This window comes from Homo sapiens, chromosome 15, assembly GCF_000001405.40.
Source record: "Homo sapiens chromosome 15, GRCh38.p14 Primary Assembly".
NCBI lineage: Eukaryota > Metazoa > Chordata > Mammalia > Primates > Hominidae > Homo > Homo sapiens.
Genome location: NC_000015.10, coordinates 75973225 through 75999358, shown reverse-complemented (window position 1 = coordinate 75999358; position 26134 = coordinate 75973225). Strand labels below are relative to the sequence as shown.

Sequence of the window (26134 nt, the reverse complement as noted above, 5' to 3'; positions counted from 1 at the left end):
TCCTTATGCCAGCACAATGGAGATTATGTTTCATCATGAATTTTTAGAGGGGATACATAGCACCTACCCAGTCTTCCCAACATTATCAGTTTATAGATCATAATTCCCATTATAATGTCAGCCCTGTGAGGGCAGAAATTTTTATCTATATGTTTACTGCTAGAACAGTACCTGAAACATAGTAAGTACTCAATAAATATTTATTAAATGAATGAATGAATTCCCCTGCTGATTTGAGATGCCAACTTTGTTATATGTGAAACTCTATATGTATTAATTCTTACTGGACTCCGTTTTCCTTTGGTGTGTCCATTTATTCTTATGCCCACAGCAGTCTCTTCTAATTGTTGAATGTTTATAGTGAGTTTAATATGTGGTAAGTCTAGTTTTTGCGGCACTCCCTTGCACCCTGGCTGTCCTTGCTTTTTAATTTTTCCATATGAACTTTAGAATCAGTCCAGAAGAATATAAAAAATTAAATTGATAAATTCCCTTTAGGAAAGTTTCTTTATGATGCTGAATCTTCTTATCCAGGATTGATATGTCTTCCCATTAGTTCAAATCCTTTTCTGTACTTCAAGAGTGTTTTTAACATTATATATGTTTTGCATATTTCTGAATTTTTTCCCATAGATTTGATTTTTTGTTACTGGGGTAAATCTGTTTCCATATGTAAATTTAATAAATATGTTATTTCTATGCTTAAAACCCTTCAGTGACTCTCTGTCTCACTCAGATAAAAGCCAGTGGCCTATAAAACCTTAATGATATGGCCCCTATTATTGTTCTCACCTCATATCCTGCAACTATCTAATTGCTCAATCTACTGCAGCCAAATTAGCCTCTTTGATGTTCCCTGATGCCAGGAAAGTTCCAGACTTAAGGTGTTGGCCTGGCCTTTCTGTCCTGTGTTGAATGCTTTCTCCCCCAATATCCTCATGGCTAACTCCCCCTCATCCTTTTAGTCTTCACTATCAATCTTTCAATGATGCCTCCTAGACCACTTTTTAAAAAGTAAAACCCATTCTTCGCCTATTCCCTCTCTTCCTCTCTTACCATCTACCAACATACTATATAATTTACTTTACATTGTATCTCCCCAAGCTAGAATGTAAGTCCCACAGGGAAAGAAATTTTTATTTTTTGTTCACTGAGATTTTCCGTGCATCTAGAACAAGCATAGAGTAGGTTTTCGGTAAGTATCTGTTGAGTGAATGAATGCCCCACTACTTTGTTGACTTCTGTTATCATTATAATAATTTTTCTGTTAATTCTCTCGGGTTTCACATTATGTAGGATAGAATTTGATAAAGCAGAGTGATCTGAAACCCAAGTCAAACTTTGTATCTTTTATGAAGCTTTTCTGGGTAGAATTAGCCATTCAGCCCTGTGGCAGAGGCTGTTAGTGTCCAATAACTATGTGGTCCTCTGTGTTTGAGCCTCACATACAGTTAGACTGGGTCTATGTGACTGGGTTCTGGACAGTAGAGTATGGGCAAAAGGGATGCAAGCCAGTCACAAGTCTGGCCCTGAAAAACCAACTCCTGAAAAACTCCAGCTCTCATTTTTCCTGCCTTAGTGACCTTGGAGGCCATGTTCTCCAGGTGTCAGGGCCAAGAGATGGAGAAGGGCTGCCTGACTGGCATTGGGCATTAGACAGTAGTGTGAGCAAGGATTAAACTTTCATTGTATGAAGTCACCAGTATTTGTAAGTTTGCAATTAAAGGCAGCTAGTATTAACTTTGTTGACTATTATATGCTCACACTGTACCCAGACGTATTTCTATCTTATATCTCTCTCTACTGTACTTAGTGTTTATGTGTCTGTTGTTCTCTAATAGAATCTAAGCCCCTTGGGACTGAATAATTCTCTTGTCTTTGAATTTTCTACATCTAGTATATATCATAGAATTTAATAAACTACTCAAAAATGTTTCTCGAGTGAATTTTTGAGAAAAACCAAGATGGAAAAGGATTTGGAAATTTCAATCACTAAAAAATAGGGGTATTTAATACCAAGCAAAGAAGGGTAAGAAGATGATGAGATGAAATTCTATGAAGAATATCTTTGCAATATATATCTTTGCAATACAGATTTTTAAATATTAATGGAGTTGAATTAGTATCAAAAAATAAAAATTTTCTCAGAGAAAATTAGATGAATTATCTCGTAAAAAGTTATTTGTAATTTTGTACAGAAATGTTACTGAAATGATTTTTGCCCTTATTTAGTTTACATATTTTTTTCTCTCATTAAATGTATAACATCAGCTCTCTGGAAATCTCAAGCTTTTCTTAGTCTACTAAGTATTATAGTGGGAAAAGTCTCAAATGGGGAGAAGATCATGAAAAAAAGCCTTAAAAATACTATTAAAATAATTTTTCTCTCATTGACACCTACCTCATCCTTTTTACAAAGTTTCTCAACCAATATGTGTTAGAAGAGAATTCCAAATATAGAGCTAATTCTGGCCATCAAGTAGTGATGTGTAATATGGATATTTATAGATCTTTATGATATAATTCCTATAATACATTTCACCGAAAACATTCAAGGTTTGATCTAGAATCAAATTTATTTTCATATTCTGACACAGCCATTTCATCTGATTCCTACCAAGACTATAAACAAATGTAGTAATAATAAATATAATGTTGGGATCTAGTACTATCATTATGTAGACGAATGATCTAAGCAAGTCACTAGTTGCTATAAAAATAAATGGTTACAAATAGAAATTTGGCACTTTTTCCAATTTTGTGACCAAATCTCTTCTTTGCTACTCTAAGAAATTTTATGTCAGGAACTATTATCTAGTTTCCTGACCTTTCAAAAGTGTGTTCTTTTGTATCTCTTTATTTCACTGTCTTCTATAGCTAAACACACATGCTCTATTAAAAAGCAAGGCTCATTTGTTTAATAATGTGAATAACTGAGCTTCAAACTCTTGTAGTTAAAAGATTCATACTACTCAATGAAGTTGGTATATCTAGGGAATAAATAGCCCCAATGAGTACTGTGTGACCATGGTATTATCACAATCTGAGGTCTCCCCTCAGTGTAGATTGTTAAGAGTTAAATGAAGTACATTGTGAGGGATCTCATCTCTCACAGCAGATACACATTGATTAGGCTTACAGAGCTAGTGTCTAAAGTAAGCATTCTTATTTATTTATTGAGACGTGGCCTCGTTATGTTGCCCAGGCTGGATACTTCAATTTGTTAATGTATGATGATATATAACTGACACAGGCTTGAGTTGATGTGAGCCAGGCATTCTTTTTCTCTGTAGACTGACATGTATGGGAAGCCAAATTTGTAATCAGAATATTTTAATGGATATAGAGAAAACAAGAAAACAACAAGAATTATATAATATGAAAGTCTACCTGTAATTAGTCTGATGCATTTATTTCCACAAGAGAGATAATCTGACTTAGAACTGTAATGCATGAAGTCTTCTGGCTACAATACCCTCTCTACTTAACAGTGCTTAGATAGGCACTGCCGATGTTTGCCTCTGTGCCTCTCCTTTCTGTGAGTGTCCCTTGCCAACCAACTCCTCAGACTGACAGCTCTTTCTTTAGATATGTTAATGCATATTCAGCTAGTCTCTATTATTTAAAGGAACTTTGCTTTATTCTACTCTGATCCATTGACTTTATAATTCAATTTGCATTATATAATCTTATTTCCTTCAGCTCTAAGTATTAGACATCACATCAGTTTCCCACTTGTACTTAATACACAACCTAAATATAGTTGAGGTGTGATATAGTTTGGATATGTATCCTCTCTCCAAATCTCATGTTGAAGTATGATCCCTAGTGTTTGGGGCGGGGGGGCCTAGTGGGAGGTGTTTGGATCATGAGGGCAGACCCTTTATGAATGGCTTGGTGCCCTCCTCATGGTAATGAGTTCTTGCTCTATTAGCTAATGTGAGATCTGATTGTTTAAAAGAGTCTGTGGTCTTCCCCTTTTCTCTCTTGCTCCCTCTCTCACCAGGTGATACACTGGCTCCCCCTCACCTTCTGCCATGATTGTACACTTCCTGAGTGCTCACCAGAAGCAGATGCTGGCACCATGCTTCCTGTATAGCCTCCAGAAGCATGAGCCAAGATAAACTGCTTTTCTTTCTTTCTTTCTTTCTTTTTTTTTTTGAGACAGGGTCTCACTCTGGAGTGAGACGACTCCCATACTGGAGTGCAGTGGTGCGGTCATGGCTTACTGCAGCCTCTGCCTCCCTGGTTCAAGCAATCCTCCCACCTCAGCCTCGGGAGTAGCTGGAACTAGAGGCACGTGCCACCATGCCCTCTAATTTTTAAATTTATTGTAGAGACAGAGTCTTCCTATGTTGTCCAGACTGGACTTGAACTTCCTATGTTGTCAAGACTGGGCTCAAGCAATCCTCCTCCCTTGGCCTCCCAAAGTTCTGGGATTACAGGCATAAGCCACCATGCCCAGCCTCTCTTTTCTTTATAAATTACCCAGCCTCAGATATTCCTTTACAGCAATGCAAATAGACTAAGACAAGGTGTATTACAAATATATTGTTGTGTTGCTTATTTTCTTTAAGTGTCTTCTACTAGGCCCTGACTTTCAGAAATATGATCCTTGTGGCTAATATACCATTCTTGTACTTCAGTCTTAGAGAAAGCACATAGATTTTTAAATTCTGTAAGATACTTTCAAGCTTGAGCATTATCAATATAAGTTCTGATTAAAACAACTTGCTTTGTGTACAGCTGGAGTAGCTCATAATCAAATACGCATATACCTCCTTTTTACAAATAATAAACTCTGCACAAGTATAAACACTATTTGAAGAAACTGGAGAATGACTAAAAGCAGGAAGAAACAAAAGTAGTTGACACCTAGAAGAAGGGAATGTCACTGGGTGAGTTTCCCATTATTATGGCTTGTTGCCTGAGGACAGCCCCTAATCAATTCAACACATAGTGGTAAAATGGGATGGAAACATGCAGGCAGTCACCACAGCTGGAAATTGAATGTCCTGAAGAGGGCCACAGAGGGGGAGCCTGAGTTCTTTATGTGCTTTATATGCCCAAATATCTGGGTGGCCTTGAATTTGTATGCATAGAGGACTCCAGATAGCCCAGGTAAGGCTAAGAAAAGTGAATAGACATTTCACTTGTTGCAGCAGTAGGAGAGATAGAGTTTAGAGTTTCAGTTAAGCCAAATTATCCTAATAAAACAAAATATTTGTACTTTAAAAAGGAATGTAACCATCTAGAATCTACAACATGTCACTCGTAAGGTCTGGGTTAGAATTCAAAATGACTAGACATATGAAGATAGAAAAATGTCGTCCATACTGAAGACTAAAGAAAATCAGTGGAGTCAGACCTTGAGATGAGCCAAATATTGCAATTAGCAGATAATAATTTTAAATCTTAAGGATTTATTCTCAAGGATATAACAGAAAATTTGCTTATTATCAGTGAGTAAATGGGAAACCCCAGCAGAGAAATAAGAAATATGGAAAAATAATTAAATAGAAATTCTAGAATTAAAAAATAACATCTGAAATAAAAAATTTCTGAGTGGGCTTAACAGTGGATTGGAAACAGAAGAAAGAGTAGGTGTACTTGAAGCTTTGTTGAAAATATCTGTATGAAAAACAGATTTTTTTTTTTTTTGAGAGTGAGTCTCACTCTGTCACCCAGGCTGAGTGCAGTGGCACGATCTCAGCTCACTGCAACCTCCGCCTCCTGGGTTCCAGTGATTCTCCTGCCTCAGCTTCCTGAGTAGCTGTAGCTGGGACTATAGGCATGCAGCCTGGCTAATTTTTGAATTTTTAGTAGAGTCGAGGTTTCACCATGCTGGCCAGGCTGGTCTTGAACTCCTGACCTCGTGATCTGTCCACTGCTGGGATTACAGGTGTGAGCCACACATGTAATTCGTGCTCAGCCAGAATTTTTTTTTTTTTTTTTTTTTTTTTTTTACAGAATCCTCAGTGACTTGTCAAATGATGTTAAATGACTGACATACTTGTAATTGGGAACCCAGAAGGAGAAAAGAGAACACAGCAGGAAAAAAAAAAAAACAATATTTAAAGAAATGATGGTCCCCAATTTTCCAAATTTAGTGAAAGCCAAAATTTCAGGTTTAAGCTCAACAAACACCAAGCAAACTTAGACACATCATAGTCAAATGGCAGGAGGAAAAAAATATAAAGAGAAAATCTTGAAAGCAGTCAGATAAAGTGACACATTACATATGGGGAAATAGCAGTATGAATGGCAACTGATTTCTTATCAGAAATCATGGAGACCAAAAGATAGTGGAAGGAAATATTTAAAGTGCTTAGAGGGAAAAACTATGAACCCAGAACTTTGTATCTTGCAAAAATATCCTTCAAGGATGAAGACAATAATAAAAGCATTACCCATAATAGCTAAAAAGTGGTAAAAAAAAAAAGTGTCCATCAACTCATGAATGTATAAATAAAATGTAGTATATATACACAATGGAATATTTGTCAATAAAGTACTGTTATATATTACTACAACATAGATCACCCATACAAACATTATGCTAAGTCAAAGAAGCCATTTGCAAAATAACCCCAAATGTGTAATTCTGTTACACATTTTAAATGTATTACACATATTTACATATTAGATGTCCAGAATAGGCAAATTTATAGAGATAGAAAGTAGATTAGTGGTGGGGTGGGGAATGGCGATTGATTGCTCATGGACGTGGTGTTTCTTTCAGGGGAGATGAAAACATTCTAAAATTAGATTTTGGTGATGGTTACACAACCCTGTGAATATACTAAAAACATTGAATTGTATACCTTAAATGGATAGATTGTACGGTATGTGAATTATATCATATAAATAATAAATCTCAATAAGGCTGTTTAAAAATGAAGGCAATATAAAGACATTTTCAGGTACGAAAAAACTAAGATAATTTATTACCTGCAAGCCTATACTAGAAGAAATGTAAAAGGAAGGTCTCCAAGCTGAGGGGAAATAATACCAAATGGAAACTTGAGTCCACAGAAAGGGATGAAGAACTTTGGAAATAGTAAAAATATGCGTAAATATAAAACTGTCTCTTAAATCTCAACTTAGGTGAGGTACATAATGAGTACCTAAACCAAAAATAGTGACATTGTTTTGTGGATAATATGGACTGTAGATGCAATACACATGACAACTGTGGCATAAAGGGAAGGGAAGTAAAGGGAACAATATAGTTGTAAAATGTCTGCATTGTATGTGAAGTGATATAATAGTAACCCTAAGTAGACTGTGCAGTTCAGAATGTGTACTGTAAGGCCTAGAATAACCACTAAAAATGTAATGCAGAGTTGGCTAAAAGGTTTATAGATAATGAGAATGAAATTCTAAAAACAATAGTTAACCAAGAAAAGGAAGGTTCAGAAAATAAATGGAAGAAAGAGAAACAGTGGGATGGTAGACCAACATACAAACATATTAATTTTATTAAATGTAAACTAACTAAACTTGCCAACTAAAGACAGATTGTGTATTGAAAGAGAGAGTGAGACAGGGAGGGGAGGGAGTCATCAGGAAGACATGCAATCATAAATGGTACATATATGTACCTAATAACAGAGCTTTAGAATCATGAAACATTTGGTAGAGGGAGAAACAGATAAATCCACTAATTGGAGATTTTAACATCCCTCTCTCAGTAGTTCATAGACCAATTAGACCAAAAAAAAAAAAAATTCACTAAGGACACAGTGAATGAAGAATCACTGTCAACCACCTCAACCTAATTGATAATGATAGAAAAACCTATCCTCCAAAACTGTATACATTCCATTAAATGTACACGTTATGTTCACCAGGACAGAGGTTGGGCTATAAAAAAGTCTCAATAAATTTTATCATTGAAAATTTATAGGGCAAAGATCAGCAAACTATGACCCATGGGCTAAATCTTGCCCATCGCCTGTTTTTGTATGATGTTAGTAGTAGTTTTACATTTGTAAGTATTTTTAAAAAATATTTTGACATAGAAAATGTATATAAAATTCAAATTTCAGTGTTTATAATTAAAATTCTATAGGAACAAAGGCACACTCATTCATTTGCATATCATCAATGCCTGCTTTCACACAATAAAGTTGAGTAGTTGCAACAGAGACTGTATGGCCCGCAAAGCCTAAAATATTTGCTATTTGGCCCTTTCCTTTCACAGAAAACATTTTTCTAACCCCTGCCTTAGAGTACGTTCTCTTACCATGATAAAATTATAGCAGAAATAACTAACAAGATGTCTAGAAAAACTCCTAATATTTGGAAATGGATACCTTGAAAAGATTATATAAAAATTAATAAACTCATAGCTAGATTAATAGAATATATGAAAATTACCGGCTGAGTGTGGTGGCTCGCTGCTGTAATCCCAGCACTTTGGGAAGCTGAGGTGGGAGGAACAATTTAAGGCCAGGAGTTCCAGACCAGCCTGGGCAACCCTGTCTCTACAACAAAATTTGAAAAATTAGCCAGGCATGGTGCTGCATACCTGTAGTCCTTGCTACTCAGGATGCTGAAGTGGGAGGATCACTTGATCCCAGAAGTTAGAGGGTACAGTGGGCTATGATTATGCCACTGCAGCTCCAGGCTGGATGACGGAGCATAGACCCTGTCTCAAAAAAAAAAAAAACAAAAAAAAAAAACAATTACCAACTACAGTAAGAAAATTACCAACATCAGTAATGAAAGAGTACAGATGAACCTACAGATATCAGAAGAATTATAATAGAGGCTTCTGCTTCCTGCCTTGATGAAGTAATTGGACCAGACTTGCTCTCCTCTTTAAAATGTCTATAAAAATTGGGAAAATAAATGAAACACCCTTTTTTCAGACAGTTGACAACAGGCAGTACGGGACAGTGATCCCTGAGAGAAGGAGAACAAGCTTAGAGATCCCTCTAATCTTCCGGGCTCCCTTCCTGGAGGTACGCTCTGGACCGTGGTGCAGAGAGATGGGTGCACCAAGCGGAGTACTCTGGTCTTGCTGAGCTGAGGAGAAAGAGATCAGAGGTCAGGGAGGTTGACATGGCTGAAATTTGTGGATGCACTACCAGAGAAGAGGAAGCTGTGTAAGAGAAAGAGTTCCAGAAATCTGCACAGAGATCCCTTTTGATTATCTTGTCAGATGCTACATTAGACAAGTGTAGTGTCAAACTCCATAGTGCTGCGCAAAGAACTTCTGGGAAGCTCGAAGGTGAACAACCCCAGAGCTCAGGCAGGGCTGCGATGTGTTTACATTCTGACTAGCTAGAGTGAAGTGTCCTTGGTGAAGACCTAGGGTATTCGCTTGAGATCCAAAGAGTCACTCTTGAGGATTAGAGCGAAAGTCGGCCTAAATGCTACTCCATTTGTACCCTGTCAAAGCTTAAAACCAAGCCTTAAAAGAATCAAGCTGATTTACAAGTAACTTCGTCTCCCAAAGCAAAGTTCAATGCTCTTTAAACAAAGACAACAAAATCTAGCACTCAAAAATGTAAGATTCATGTTCAGCAAGCAATGCAAAATTACTAGATACAAAGAAGCAGGCAAATGTGATTAGGATGAAAAAGTCAATCAGTAGAAACAGACCTACAAATGTCAGCAATGATGGAATTAGCAAACGAGATTTAAAGCAGTTACTATAAATATGTAAAGAATTTAAAAGAAAACCTGAATGAAATGGAGAGATTTCTAGAAGCTGAAAAATGAAATATCTGAAATGAAAAGTTGAGTGGATGGGCTTAACAAATTAGATACCGCAGAATAAAATATTAATGAATTAATGCCATAGCAATAAAAACTTTCCAAAATAGATTTTTTTTTTTCAGACTAAGGAACAGAGTCATAGAGGTCTAACATGTATGTGTTAAGGTATCTCAGAAAGATGAGAGGGCAGAAAAAGCATTTGAAGAAGTAATGGCCAAAAAGTCTCAGGATCTTACATATTCTAAGACTTTTACAGACAAGCAGTGACTGAGAGCATTCATCGGTAGGCCACGCTACATGAAATGTTAAAGGAAGTTCATCAGCAAAAGTAAACTGAAACCAGATGGAAACAGATCTACATGAAGGAATGAAGAAAGCTTAGAAATACAACATTCTTTGCATAAGTCCAAAACATCCACATTGCTTTGAGTTGAAGCAGGAACAGTACTATAAACTTTAAAAATTCACTCAGGGCTGGGTGTGCTGGCTCATGCCTGTAATCAAATCACTTTGGGAAGCCAAGATGAGAGGATTGCTTGAGCTCAGGTGTTCAAGACCAGCCTGGACAACATAGTGAGACCCCATCTCTACAAAAAAATTTAAAAATTAGCTGGGCATGATGGCTGTGCCTGTAGTCCCAGCTACGTGGGAGGCTGAGATGGGAGGATCACTTGAGTCCAGGAGTTTAAGGCTGCAGTGAGTTATGATGACACCACTGCCACTCCGGCCTGGGCACAGAGTGAGACCTTGTCTCAAAAAAAAAAAAAAAAAAAAAAGGAAGGTGCAGGATTCTAGATTCTATTTTTGCCACCCTGTGGGATAAATTCATACCTTCGTTTTATTCCTCAGGGTGTTTGTGGTCCCATCTCTAAACCCACTTCCTCTGTCTCTTTCCAATTGACTTCTCCATGTTGATTCAGATCAGCTCTAATATCTCTAGTTCCTTGGCATCATCCATTTTATGCCATTTACACAGAGTTAATATCCAGTGTGACATGTAGAATATAAAGGGCTCTTCATTCAGCAAAGACCTATGTGTATCTATCAAGAGACTCAGGATATTTCACATTCTAAGCAACTTTGTCACCTGAGAAATTTGTGAAATGTTTAAACACAAAACTAAGAACATTAGAAGGAGTTGTAGGCTGGACGTGGTGGCTCATGCCTGTAATCCCAGCAGTTTGGGAGGCCGAAGTGGGCAGATCATTTGAGGTCAGGAGTTCGAGACCAGCCTGACCAAAATGGTGAAACCCTATCTCTCCTAAAAAATATAAAAGTTATCAGGGCATGGTGGCGCATGCCTGTAGTCCCAGCTACTTGGGAGGCTGAGGCAGGAGAATCACTTGAACCCGGGAGGTGGAGGTTGCAGTGAGCCGAGATCGCGCCACTGCACTCCAGCCTGGGTGACAGAGTGAGACTCTGTCTCAAAAAGAAAAAAAGAGTTGTATAACAGTCAACCTCTTTGACGTCGGCATCCTCTGACACATGCTGTAACTATAGAAATTCTCTCAACTAGCTTCTCAATCTTCACAAACTGTTACAAAGCTTGGTTCACATTCTGAGCTACTTTGATATCCAGGATAATGTCTAGGTAAATGTCAAGTGTCTGAAACTTCTTGGTAGTGGAGACACTTTGAGAACATTAGAACACCTGTCTGTATTGCCATGGCTCTTCAAACACGCTTCCTAGATGGCATCTACAGTGTATATCGAAAATTCATGTGTACCTTCCTGCTTTTGATTATTGAAGCATCTAGATAGTGTTTGAATGTCACAGATGTCAGCACCTTGATAACAGTAACAGGATTATTGTGAGCCTGAGTAAGGTGAGCCTAAAAGCTCCTTGCTGGCAACAGGTCTTAGAGTGCTCTTTGAATAGCACTTAATCAGTTTGGACTACTACAACAAAATACCATAGACAAGATGGCTTAAACATCAGAAACTTCTCCGATTTCTGGAGGATGGGAAGTCCAAGGTCAAGGTGCTAGCTGATTCAGTTGGTGGTGAGGGCCCTCTTTCTGGTTTGCAGATGGACATCTTCGTGCTGCATACTTACATGGCAGAGAGAGGGAGAGCGGAAGTAAGTCTTTCCTGTCTCTTATAAGGGCACTGATCTCATCTTGACCCTCATGACCCTCATGACCCCCAAAAGGCCCCTCTTCATAATACCATCACATTGGAGGTATGATTTCAACATTCACATCTGTAATGCCAGTATATAATGGTAAAATTAAAATGGAATAATTCTAATCAAGTTAGAAAAACATGAAATAAGTTGCTGGTTCATACCAATTATTATATTTTCCTTGACAAAAATTGTGAAAACCCCTTGCTCTGAAGTGCATTAAATCCCTTAGCCATTCTGGCAGCTCCTTTGGGAGCAGCCTTTTACTCTGTTACCTCCATGATTCCTGGCTCTGTCATCCTTAATCATTTTTCTCCAAGGCCTCATCTGAGTTAGTGATTGAAATATACTTCTTTCCTGGGGACCGCAAAGCTTTCATAGCTCACTTCCTGCTGTTGTGATCTGGGGGCCTAGGGATTGCTTTAGGATTTGAACAGGATTTGGAGGCCAGGCTTTTGGTTTCTTTGGTAATGTAATTCACTCAAAAACATTCTAGGCTCTAGAGATCTCCCTGTTTCTACTCAGCTCCATATATAAGCAACACAGCTAAATATCAAAAATAAATAGTTCTTAAACTTAGATTGAGATCTTTTACATTAATATTCTCTCTTATGTGTTCATCCCTTCCCTTTCAGTTTAATGGCAGGGCAATTCAAGCCCATCTGAAACTAGGCTTAGTTTGGGAGGGCCATATCCTTAATCTGATTTTTGCCTCCAAGATAGTTACCATTGTCTGGCAAAGAAATAAAATACTTGGGACACACCAAAAAATGATAATATTCATATCTCATCTAATTATAATTTTTTTAAATTGATAATTTATATGGTCCAAAAATCAAGTCATAATAAAAGGTTTATAGTAAAAATTGTTATTTCCACCCACTTCTAACATATATTTGTGCATATATAAGCCAATACCAACTTGAAATCTTATGTTCTGTCAGTTTTTACACTGTTTTCTACCTTGCTTTTTCTCTTCAGAATATATTTTGGAGATCATTTCATGTCAATCCACAGAGTACTTCACTATAGCTACATAGTATTATATTTTATGCAGATAATAGGCTGTATTTAACCCTACTGATAGACATTTGGGTTGTTACTTATCTTTTGCTAATACAAATACAACAATTAACCTTATATGTATGTCATATTTTAGGGTGTAAGTGAATCCCAAGAATTTGGCTGGGTCAAAGGGTATATGCATATTAATTTTGGTAGACATTGCCAAATTGTCCTGGGTAGGAATGTGAATTCTTACCAGCTGTATATGAGAGTATGTCATTTCCTAGCAGAGTATGTTGCCTAACTTTGGGTTTTTACCAATCAGATAGATGAAAACGTTATCTGATTTGGGGTTTTTACCAAGCTGATAGCAGCATATGTGGTCTAATTTTGGGTTCTTACCAATCTGATAGATGAGAAATGGTATCTCACTGTTACTTTTAATTCAATCTTTTGATAGGTGAGGTTGAGCCATATGTGTTTCCTTTTGTGTCAACAGTTTTTCCCTAGTTGTTCTATTAAGTTGTATTCTTATAGTAGCCATCGTAGAAATTGTTTATATAATAAAGATACTATTAAAAGCTATATTATCTTTTTGACTGAGATATGAGTTGCAAACATTCTCTTCTAGTTTGTCACTTGTCTTGTGATTTTTTTCTTGATAAATTTTGGCCATAATTAAGTTTTATTTTTTATTTTTACATACTTAATTTTATCAGTCTTTTATGGGTTTTGGATGTTGACTTATAATTTGATTTTTTATATTCAAGATGTGGAGAATAGAGTTGACAGAGCAGGTCTTAGACTGCTATCCTTAGAAAGGCCTCCTTGCGAAGTTGGCCGTTGCTGGTGTTTAGAAACTTAGTTGGCATACAGTTCTCTATACTTAAATGAAACTTTTCCTAAATGATAAGGATGTCTCCGTATGCCTGAACTGTATAAGCATTGTGGTTTATGCTGAATACCTGCTTTTCTTTTGGGAGTCTGGAATTTTGGTATATGCGAGGCAGAAGATACATATATGAACAGTTTCCATGAAAAATCTTGGACACTAAGTCTCTGATGAGCTTCCCTAGTAGATAACACTTCACTTAAATTGTCACAATTCATTACTAGAGGAATTAGGCTTGTTCTGTGTGACTCCACTAGGAGGGAACTCTTCGAAGCTTGTGCCTCATTTCCTTCAGACTTCATCCCATGTATCTTTTCCCTTTGTAGTTTTTGCTTTGTATCTTTTTGCTGTAATAAATCATTACTGTGGGTAAAACTATGTATTGAGTCCATTGAGTCTTCCTGGGAGTTATAATGGAACTTACCCTTATTTTTTTCCCTTTTGTTTAATTAAAGACTTTTTTGGCCTGGTGCAGTGGCTCATGCCGGTAATCCCAGCATTTTGGGATGCTGAGGCAAGCAGACCACTTGAGGTCAGGAGTTCGAGACCAGCCTGGCTAACATGGTGAAACCTAGTCTCTACTAAAAATACAAAAATTAGCCTGGCATGGTGAGGCGTGCCTGTAGTCACAGCTACATGGGAGGCTGAAGCACAAGAATCACTTGAACCTGGGAGGTGGAAGTTGCAGTGAACTGAGATTGCATCACTGCATTCTAGCCTGGGTGACAGAGCAAAACTCTGTCTCAAGACAAAACAAAACAAAACAAAACAAAAACTGCTTTAAAAAAAATTATTTGCCAATTTTTTAAACAATTTTTTTTATTATACTTTAAGTTCTGGGATACATGTACAGAACATGCAGGTTTGTTACATAGGTATACACGTGCCATGGTGGTTTGCTGCACCCATCAACTCGTCATCTACATTAGGTATTTCTCCTAATGCTATTCCTCCCCTAGCCCCCTGCCTCCCAGTAGGCCCTGGTGTGTGATGTTCCCATGCCTGTGTCCGTGTGTTCTTATTGTTAAACTCCCACTTATGAGTGAGAACATGCGGTGTTTGGTTTTCTGTTCCTGTGTTAGTTTGCTGAGAATGATGGTTTCCAGCTTCATCCATGTCCCTGCAAAGGACATGAACTCATTCTTTTTTATGGTTGTGTAGTGTTCCATGGTGTATATGTGCCACATTTTCTTCATCCAGTCTATCACTGATGGACATTTGGGTTGGTTCTAAGTAAAAAGACCCCTTTTAAAGGGCAGTTTTAGGTTCACAGCAAAATTGAGAGGACGGTACAGAGACTTCCCTGTATATACCCCCTGCCGTGACACATGCAAGGCCTCCCCCGTTATCAACACCACCAACCAGAATGGTACATTCATTACCATTGAGGAACCTGCATCAACACATCATAATCACCAAAGTCCATAGTTCAGGGTTCACCGATGGTGTTGTACATTCTATGGGTCTGTACAAATGTAATGACATGTATCCACCATTATACTATCATACCAGGTATTTTCGCTATCCTAAAAATCCTCTGTGCTCTGCCTGTTCGTCTCTCCCCTGCCATGTATTTTTTCAGGAACTTTTATCATTTTTGTTTTTAGATATTGGGGTAACATTTATATTCATAAATTAACTTAGGATTTAGATGTTTATAAGATTGAATTTATTTCATCTAGAATGTGTTTTAAAGCTTTCTTCCTATAGATATTGGGATAACATTTATATTCATAAATTAATTTAGAATTTATATGTTTATAAAGTTGAATCTATTTAGCCTAGAATATGTTTTAGAATTTCCCTCATATAGGTTTTACATATTTCTTAAATTTATTCTTAGTTATTTCATCATTTTGTTTGTATTGTGACTGGGGCTTTTCCTGCCTATCTTCTAATTATTGTCTGTATATAAGAAAGCTAGTGATTTCTTTATGTTAATTTCCCCTGCTATCTTATTGAGTTATGTTACTATTTGTAGGAGTTTTTTATTTTATTCCTTTGGGTTTTCAAGATGTATAATCATATCATCTATAAATAGCAATAGTTTTACTTATCTCCTTCTAATGGCTGTGCCTTTTATTTCTGTATCTTGTCTAATTGTGGTTAGGACCTTCAGTACAATATTAAATAATAGGGGTAGCAGTGAGTGTTTTTTACTTTTTATTGTTTTTTAACTTTGATGGGAATGTCTTTACTTTTTCCAGGAAATCTGATGCTAATTTTTGGCTGGGATGGATATATTTTATCATGCTAAGGAAGTAACTATATTTCTATTTTATTGAGGGTTTTTATTAGTTTTCAGATCTCAATGTCTTTGTTTGTTTCTGTATCTCTGCTGAGACTTACCATTTCTCTGCTAAGACTTTTTATGCATTGTAAATATGTTTTGCTTCATTGAGGATAGTTATATTAGCGGCTTGATTCTTGTCTGTTTGTTCCAATATCTGGTTCGTCTTGGGTTTGGACTCAATTTATTTTCTTTCTCTTGAGAACATTTGATTTTTTGGTTCTTTGTATACTTGGTGATTTTGGATTGTTTCTGGGACATTAGGAGTTTTAGATTATGGATATTCTAAATGCTATTATTTTTCTGATAAGCATGGTTTCCTTTGTTTAGTAAGCAATTTTCTTGGCTGGGCTTCTACTGCAAACATGTTTTCTTATGTAGAAGGTCCAGTCTGTTCAGATGTTTTGTTTTTAGATGGTCTGTTTTAAATTTGTTCTGAGCCTACCTAGTTCAGGTGTCCGTTAGAGATGTGGGGAGACAGCTTGGGCTTGGGGATCCCCTCTTTGGCTCATGCTCACCCAGAATTCTCCTACTCTTTCAGCATTCATGGCTTCATAGCTTCTTTTTTCTAGTTCCTCAGATCAGAAAGAGTTCTTCCATGCAAGGCCCCCATAGCTGCTGTACTCACTAGGTGGCTTAGCCCCAGGCTAAAAGCTGCAGAAGCAGGAATTTACTTGTACTTCCTCCAAACTAGCGTGACCTCCCCTCCAGAATCTGTCTTTATCTCTTCATTCTCCTGGACCTTCAGGTATTTGCTTTTCATATTTTGTCCAAGTCTTTATAGTTTTCTGCAGGGAGCTAGAAGTGGTGGTCATTCTATAGCATCTTAGCTAGTCATACCCAGAAGTGGAACCTCTCATATTCCACTTATTGTTTTAAATCAAGAATGGCCATTGAATTTTATCGAATGCTTTTTTACAGTCTAAGGACATGATCATGTTTTTTTCTCTTTAACTATATCTACATGATGAATTGTATTATTAGTCCTGATTTTGAATCATTCTTGTATTTCTGGAGTATGGCCCACTTACTATTCTTTTATGGTCTGCTGATTCTTATTGTATTTTATTGAGGATTTTTGTGTTGACATTCGTGAGAATGACCTACGGTTTTCTTATTGGTACAATCTTTGTTAGGTTTTGGGATCGACAATATCCTTATTTCATTGAAGGAGTTTGAATATTTTTCTCCTTTTCTAAGTTTTAGAATAGTTTAGCATTAGAATTATCTAATGTTTAAAGTCTGGAAGAATTCTCTATGAAGCTGTCTGGATCTAGGTTTTCTTAGCAATAGTTCCTAAATTTGTTTTATGGAGAATGATCTATTTGAATTTTCTTCTCTGTAAATCAGTCTGTATTAGATTTTCTGTTTCTTTGGGGGTGATTTTTTTTTTGTAAGTTATATTTTTAAGCAAAATTTTCCAATTCATCCAGGTTTTCAAATTTATTGGTAAAGAATTTATCAAAATAGCCTCTTTTCTGATTTTAAAACATATTATCCATTTCTGTGGTTAAATTTCCTCTGGCATATCTTCACTTATATTTTGTAGTTTGGTTATCTATTTTGCATAAAAACAACCCTAAAAATCAGTAGCTTCAAAAACGACCATTTGACAGGTATTTGGGCTGGTCTCACCTAGGCAGTGCCACTCTACATGGTGTCATCTTGGGTCACTCACAGGGCTGCATTCAGCCTTCAATAGCAATTTCCTCATTGTACTTGCAGCTGCTACTAGCAGTTTCCTTACTGCCCCTTAGGCCTCCACCTACTGCTTGGTCCAAAATCCAATGCCACAAATTTTTAAGTTTTTAGTTACACAAACACCTTACTTCTAGGATTATCTGTTTCTGTGTAACATACTACCCCAAAACTCAGTGGCTTAAAATAGCAACCATATTATAATTTACTCAGAATTCTTGGGAATTCAAGCAGGTGATGCTGGGTGGTTGTTCTCCTCTACATGGTATTGGCAAGGGTTACTCAGGAGCTGTGTTCAGCTGGGTATTTGGCAGGATCTGAAACATTTAAAGTAGATTCAGGTCTCTCTCCCCAGAGGATAGTCAGACTTCATACATGGAGACCAAAAGGGAGTATTCCAATAGACGACAGTGGAAGCTGTTGATCTGTTAATGCCTAACTTTAAGAATTATGAAGCATCATCTACCATATTCTCCTTGTCAAAGCAAGTCATAGGGCCACTGAGTTTCAAAGGGAGGGGAAATAGACCCCAGCACTCAGTGAGAGGAGTGACAAAGAATTTGTGGCCATCTGCAATTCACCAAATGTGCTTTCTCTCAAGTTCATTTCATTTCATTTTACTGAGAACCAGCTCTTGGATTTATGTATTTTGGTTTCATTCTCTTTTTCTGTTTCTAACTCATTTATTTCTTCCTTTATTAATTCCTTCTTTCTATTTACTTTGGAATTATTTTATCACTCTAAAAAATCTCTTTCCCCCACCTTTACCATTTTTTATTTTTTTTTCTTACAGAGCTAATGAATGTTAGTGAGTAATAATAGTAGAAATCAATTTATTAGAACTGAATGAAGTCTCTGAGGGATGTAGGAGGCAAAGAGTGATCTGGAACGTGAGACCTTGTCTTGATATCACTGCACTAGGGTATCCTAAGTACCTTTAGGACTCTGGGCTCTGGATGCTATGTGGCAACAGAAAATTGAAAAGTGAAGTGAAAGGATGCCAAAGAAAACTTTGAAACACTTTACCCTTTGGCTTGGAGATACCCTAGATTACGCCTGACATTCATACTGAGTGTATTCTTCCTTATACTTTCTGCTGATTTGCTGTATTTGATTATACAGGTTGAGTATCCTTTATCCTAAATGCTTGAGATCAGAAGTAGTTCAGATTTTAGACTTTTGGATTAGGGATATTCAACTTGTATGAACTAACATCAGTAAAAAAAAAAAAAAAAATCCCCAAAGAAAAAAATGTATTCATTTTGAATTTACCCAGTATTTTTAAACCCACCAACATTATTTCTGCTTTCACTAATCTCTATTTTTGTTTTCCCTATCTCTGGAGTCCAGACATTTTGGAAAAGGTGAAAGTTTCTTGTGTGCTTTGTAAAATTCCTTGACATGCTTTCTTTTCCATTTATTTTTGTTCTGAAATGAACTTTTATACTACTGAACATGGTTCTTGTTCAATTCTAGTTTGTAGACCTTTTTAAGCCAAATTCTTTCTCATATATGTATTTTGAACATGCTAAAAGCTTATCAGGTGAAAAATAGTAAAAACAGTCAATAAAAGTTAGGTAATATTTAGATACTGCATATATAGCCACAAACGTCTTTCAAGAAAAAATGATAAATTAGTTGACTTACCAATAAAATAATTCTGAAAGTCTCCCATGTGGCAGCTGTAGGATACAAAAGCTAACAAAGAAGGTTCAGTTACCATTTGCAGTACAATTTCAGATGAACTCTTTGTAATTTGTCTTGTTTTAATAAGAATTAATTAAATTGATTGAGAATGGGCATATATAGGAGGCAAGAAATTTATGTAATGAAAGCAAAATTTAGTAAATTTACTTAGACATACAAAAACTAAACATTAAAATACAGTATATTCAGTTTGATTGACTTCTTATTCAAGTTAAGCTCTTAATATAATATCCAGAAAATAAAATGTATCATAGTTGGGTGAACAATGAATGATCATTGTTTACAACATTTTTTGGGGCCAGCATTTTACTGGTCTTATGCAATTCAGTTATGATTAAAGCTGGAAATGTAACCTTTTCAATAAAATGTAAACTTTTATAACAGATTTTAATTTTAGCTATTTTGACCTTGACAAATAATAATTAAAGGGGGCACCAAGATAAAATTTTCTTGTTTGTGTGTTTCTCTTCAAAACCCATGTGTTCAAATAAATGTTTATTAAAACAGCCCAACTACAGAAAAAGAGAGGTCAAAATCCACCCAATGGATTGGAGATAAGAAAAGAACAGTATAAAGAGTTTTGCTGATATAACCACAGGCAAATGCTATTAGCTGTCTAATACACAAAAATGGATTAAAGACTTAAATATAAAACCTGAAACTATGAAACTATTAGAAGAATGCATAGGGGGAAATGCTTTAGGACACTGATCTGGGCAAAGATTTTTTTTTAGTAAGACCTCAAAAGCACAGGTAACAAAAGCAAACATAGATAAATGGGATTACATCAGGCTAGAAAGCTTCTGCTCAGCAAAGGAACAGCCAACAGAGTGAAGAGACAACCTACAGAATTGGACAAAATGTTTGCAAGCTATCCATCTGACAAGGGATTAGTAATGAGAATGTATAAGGAACTCCAACAATTCTGCAGGAAAAAAAAGCCCAAATAATCTGATGAAAAAAGTGGAGATATAGCTTTGTGCAGTGGCAGTATTGTAGCCAATGAGGTTTATCTGAGGCGCAATTATTGCTAATTGAAAAAAATGGACATGTAATCTGAATAGACATTTCTTAAAAGAAGGCATATAAATGGCCAACAGATGAAAAAAATGTTCAACATCGCTAACCATAGGGGAAATGTAAATCAAAACTACAATGAGATATCATCTCACCCCAGTTAACACAACTATTATCAGAAAGACAAAAATAATAGGTGCTGGTGAGAATATAGAGAAAGGGGAATGGTAGTACACTATTGGGAATGAAACTAGTACAGCCACTATGGAAAACAGTATGGAGGTTCCTCTAAACCCTGAAAATAGATCCACCATATGATCCAGCAATCCTGCTGCTGGGTATATGTCTCAAAAAATAAAAGGTATATTAAAGGGATGTCTGTACTCCCATGTTTATTGCAGCACTATTCACAATAGCCAAGATAAATAATTAACCTAAGTGTCCATCAACAGGTGAATGGATAAAGAAAATGTAGGTATAGACACAATAGAATATTATTCAGCCATAAAAAAAATGAAGTCCCGTCATGTGCAGCAACATGAATGGAGCCGTAGGTCATTATGTTAAGGGAAATAATCTACGCATGAGAAGACAAATACTGCATGCTCTCACTAATATGTGAAAGCCAAAAAATATTGATCTCAGGGAGGTAGAGAGTTGAATATGGTTACCAGAGGCTGGGAAGGGTACTGGGTGGATGTGGGGAAAATGAAGAGAGGTTAGTGAATGGGTACAAAAATACTGCTAGATTTATTGTATATTTCAAAATAGCTAGAAGAGGCTGGGCACGGTAGCTCATGCCTGTAATCCCAGCACTTTGGGAGGCTGACGTGGGCAGATCACTTGAGGTCAGGAGTTGGAGACCAGCCTGGCCAACATGGTGAAATCCCATCTCTACTAAAAATACAAAAATTAGCTGGGCATGGTGGCAGGCACCTGTGATCCCAGCTACTTGGGAGGCTGAGGCAGGAGAATCACTTGAACCTGGGAGGCAGAGGTTGTAGTGAGCCGAGATCACACCACTGCACTCCAGCCTGGGCAACAGAGTGAGACTCCATTTAAAAAAATAAAATAAAAATAAAAAGCTGGAAGAGAAGATTGGGAATGTTCCCAAAAGAAAGAAGTGATAAGATGGCCAAATAGGAACAGCTCTGGTCTGCAGCTCCCAGCGAGACCAATGCAGAAGGCAGGTGATTTCTGCATTTCCAACTGAAGTACCCGGCTTATCTCACTGGGACTGGTTAGACAGTCGATGCAGCCCACAGAGGGTGAGCCGAAGCAGGGTGGGGTGTCACCTCACCCAGGAAGCACAAGGGTTGGGGGAATTCCCTCCCCTAGCCAAGGGAAGTGCCAAGGGACTGTGAGGAATGGTGCATTCTGGCCCAGATGCTATGCTTTTCCCATGGTCTTTGCAACCCGCAGACCAGGAGATTCCCTCGGGTGCCTACACCACCAGGGCCCTGGATTTCAAGCACAAAACTGGGTGGTTATTTTGGCAGACACAGAGCTAGCTGCAGGGGTTTTTCATACCCCAGTGGCGCCTGCAACACCAGTGAGACAGAACCGTTCACTCCCCTGGAAAGGGGGCTGAAGCCAGGGAGCCAAGTGGTCTAGCTCAGTGGATCCCACCCCCATGGAGGCCAGCAAGCTAAAGTCCACTGGCTTGAAATTCTCGCTGCCAGCACAGCAGTCTGAAGTCGACCTGGGATGCTCAGTCTTGGTTGGGGGAGGGGCATCTGGAGGCTTGAGTGGGCAGTTTTCCCCTCATAGTGTAAACAAAACTGCTGGGAAGTTTGGACAGGGCAGAGCCCACCACAGTGCCACAAAGCGGCGGTACCCAGACTGCCTCTCTAGATTCCTCCTCTCTGGGCAGGGCATCTCTGAAAGAAAGGCAGCAGCCCCAGTCAGGGACTTACAGATAAAACTCCTATCTGCCTGGGACAGAGCACCTGCAGGAAGGGCAGCTGTGGGCACAGCTTCAACAGACTTAAACGTTCCTGCCTGGTGGCTCTGAAGAGAGCAGCAGATCTCCCAGCACAGCACTCAAGCTCTGCTAAGGGACAGACTGCCACCTCAAGTGGGTCCCTGACCCCCATGCCTCCTGACTGGGAGACACCTCCCAGCAGGGGTCAACAGACATCTCATACAGGAGACCTCTGGCTGGCATCTGGCGGGTACCCCTCTAGGATGAAGCTTCCGGAGGAAGGAACAGGCAGCAATCTTTGCTGTTCTGCAGCCTCCGCTGGTGATACACAGGCAAACGGGGTCTGGAGTGGACCTCCAGCAAACTCCAGCAGACCTGCAGCAGAGGAGCCTGACTGTTAGAAGGAAAACTAACAGAAAGGAATAGCATCAACAAAAAGGGTGTCCACAAAAAAACCCCAGCCGAAGGTCAACAGCATCAAAGACCAAAGGTAGATAAATCCACGAAGATGAGGAAAAACCAGTGCAAAAAGGCTGAAAATTCCAAAAGCCAGAACGCCTCTTCTCCTCCAAAGGATCACAACTCCCTGCCAGCAAGGGAACAAAACTGGATGGAGAATGAGTTTGACAAATTGACAGAAGTAGGCTTCAGAAGGTGGGTAATAACAAACTCCTTCAAGCTAAACGAGCATGTTCTAACCCAATACAAGGAAGCTAAGAACCTTGAAAAAAGGTTAGAGGAACTGCTAACTGGAAGAACCAGTGTAGAGAAGAACATAAGTGACCTGATGGAGCTGAAAAACATAGCACGAGAATTTCGTAAAGCATACACGGGTATCAATAGACAAATCGATCAAGTGGAAGAAAGGATATCAGATGTTGAAGATCAATTGATGAAATAAAGCATGAAGACAAGATTAGAGAAAAAAATGAAAAGGAACGAAATATGGGACTATGTGAAAAGACCAAACCTATGTTTGATTGGTGTATCTGAAAGTGATAGGGTGAATGGAACCAAGTTGGAAAACACTCTTCAGGATATTATCCAGGAGAATTTCCCCAACCTAGCAAGACAGGCCAACATTCAAATTCAGGAAATACCGAGAATACCACAAGATACTCCTCAAGAAGAGCAACCCCAAGACACATAATTGTCAGATTCACCAAGGTTGAAATGAAGGAAAGAATGTCAAGGGCAGCCAGAGAGAAAGGTCGGGTTACCTACCCACAAAGGGAAGCTCATCAGACTAACAGCAGATCTCTCTGCAGAAACCCTACAAGCCAGAAGAGAGCGGGGGCCAATATCCAACATTCTTAAAGAAAAGAATTTTCAACCCAGAATTTCATATCTAGCCAAACTAAGCTTCATAAGCAAAGGAGAAATAAAATCCTTTACAGACAAGCAAATGCTGAGAGACTTTGTTACCACCAGGCCTGCCTTACAAGAGCTCCTGAAGGAAGCACTAAACATGGAAAGGAAAAACCAGTACCAGCCACTGCAAAAACATGCCAGATTGTAAAGACCATTGACACTATGAAGAAACTGCATCAATTAACAGGCAAAATAACCAGCTAACATCATAATGACAGGATCAAATCCACACATAACAATATTAACCTTAAATGTAAATGGGCTAAATGCCCCAATTAAAAGACACAGACTGGCAAATTGGATAGAGTCAAGACTCACTGGTGTGCTCTATTCAGGAGACCCATCTCACATGCAAAGACACATATAGGCTCAAAATAAAGGGATGGAGGAATATTTACCAAGCAAATGGAAAGAAAAAAAAGAAAGGGGTTACAATCTTAGTCTCCGATAAAACAGCCTTTAAACCAACAAAGATCAAAAGAGGCAAAGAAGGGTATTACATAATGGTAAAGGGATCAATGCAGTAAGAAGAGCTAACTATCCTAAATATGTATGCACCCAATAAAAGAGCACTCAGATTCATAAAGCAAGTTCTTAGAGACATACAAAAAGACTTAGACTCCCACACAATAATAGTGGGAGACTTTAACACCCCACTGTCAATATTAGATCAATGAGACAGAAAATTAACAAGGATATTCAGAACTTGAACTAAGCTCTGGACCAAGCAGACCTAATAGACGTCTACAGAACTCTTCATCCCAAATCAAAAGAATATACATTCTTCTCAGCACCACATCGCACTTATTCTAAAATTGACTACATAATTGGAAGTAAAACACTGCTCAGCAAATGCAAAAGAATGAAAATCGTAACAGTCTCTCAGACCACAGTGCAACCAAATTAGAATTTAGGATTAAGAAACTCACTCAAAGCCACACAACTACATGGAAACTGAACAATCTAATCCTGAATGACTACTGGGTAGATAACAAAATTAAGGCAGAAATAAAGAAGTTATTTGAAACAAATGAGAACAAAGACACAATATACCAGAATCTCTGGGACACAGCAAAAGCAGTGTTTAGAGGGCAATTTATAGCGCTAAATGCACACAGGAGAAAGCAAGAAAGATCAACACCCTAACATCACAATGAAAAGAACGAGGAAGCAAGAACAAACACATTCAAAAGCTAGCAGAAGACAAGAAATAACTAAGATCAGAGCAGAACAGAAAGAGATAGAGACACGAAAAATCCTTCAAAAACTCCATGAATCCAGGAGCTGGTTTTTTGAAAAGATTAACAAAATAGATAGACTGCTAGCCAGACTAATAAAGAAGAAAAAGAGAAGAATCAAATAGACACAATAAAAATGATAAAGGGGATATCACCACTGATCCCACAGAAATACAAACTAACATCAGAGAATACTATAAACACCTCTACACAAATGAACTAGAACATCTAGAAGAAATGGATAAATTCCTTAACACATACCCCCTCCCAACACTAAACCAGGAAGAAGTCGAATCCCTGAATAGACCAATAACAAGTTCTGAAATTGAGGCAGTAATTAATAGCCTACCCACCAAAAAAAGCCCAGGACCAGATGAATTCACAGCCGAATTCTACCAGAGGTACCAAGAGGACCTGATACCATTCCTTCTGAAATTATTTCAAGCAATAGAAAAAGAGGGACTCCTCCCTAAATCATTTTATGAGGCCAGCATCATCTTGATACCAAAACCTGGCAGAGACACAATAAAAAAAGAAAATTTCAGGCCAGTATCCCTGATGAACATCGATATGAAAATCCTCAATAAAATACTAGCAAACTGAATCCAGCAGCACATCAAAAAGCTTATCCACCACGATCAAGTCAGCTTCATCCCTGGGATGCAAGGCTGGTTTAACATATGCAAATCAATACACGTAATCCATCACATAAACAGAACCAATGACAAAAACCACATGATTCTCTCAACAGATGCAGAAAAGGCCTTCAATAAAATTCAACACCCCTTCATGCTAAAAACTCTCAATGAGCTAGGTATTGATGGAATGTATCTCAAAATAGTAAGAGCTATTTATGACAAACCCACAGCCAATATCATACTGGATGGGCAAAAGCTGGAAGCATTCCCTTTGAAAACCAGCACAAGACAAGGATGCCCTCTCTCACTACTCCTACTCAACATAGTATTGGAAGTTCTGGCCAGGGCAATCAGGCAAGAGAAAGAAATAAAGGGTATTCAAATAGGAAGAGAGGAAGTCAAATTGTCTCTGGGTTTCCAGATGACATGATTGTATATTTAGAAAACCCTCAGCCCCAAATCTCCTTAAGCTGAAAAACAACTTCAGCAACGTCTCAGGA

General features: G+C 37.9%; 1 protein-coding gene and 1 pseudogene across 14 annotated transcripts in view; both read left to right on the top strand.

Annotated features, from left to right (window-relative positions):
- The window catches only part of NRG4 (neuregulin 4), a 124848-nt gene that overhangs the window by 60882 nt on the left and 37832 nt on the right, over positions 1–26134 (top strand). The window lies entirely within an intron of this gene.
- On the top strand, positions 20420–20526 carry LOC124903616 (uncharacterized; annotated as a pseudogene).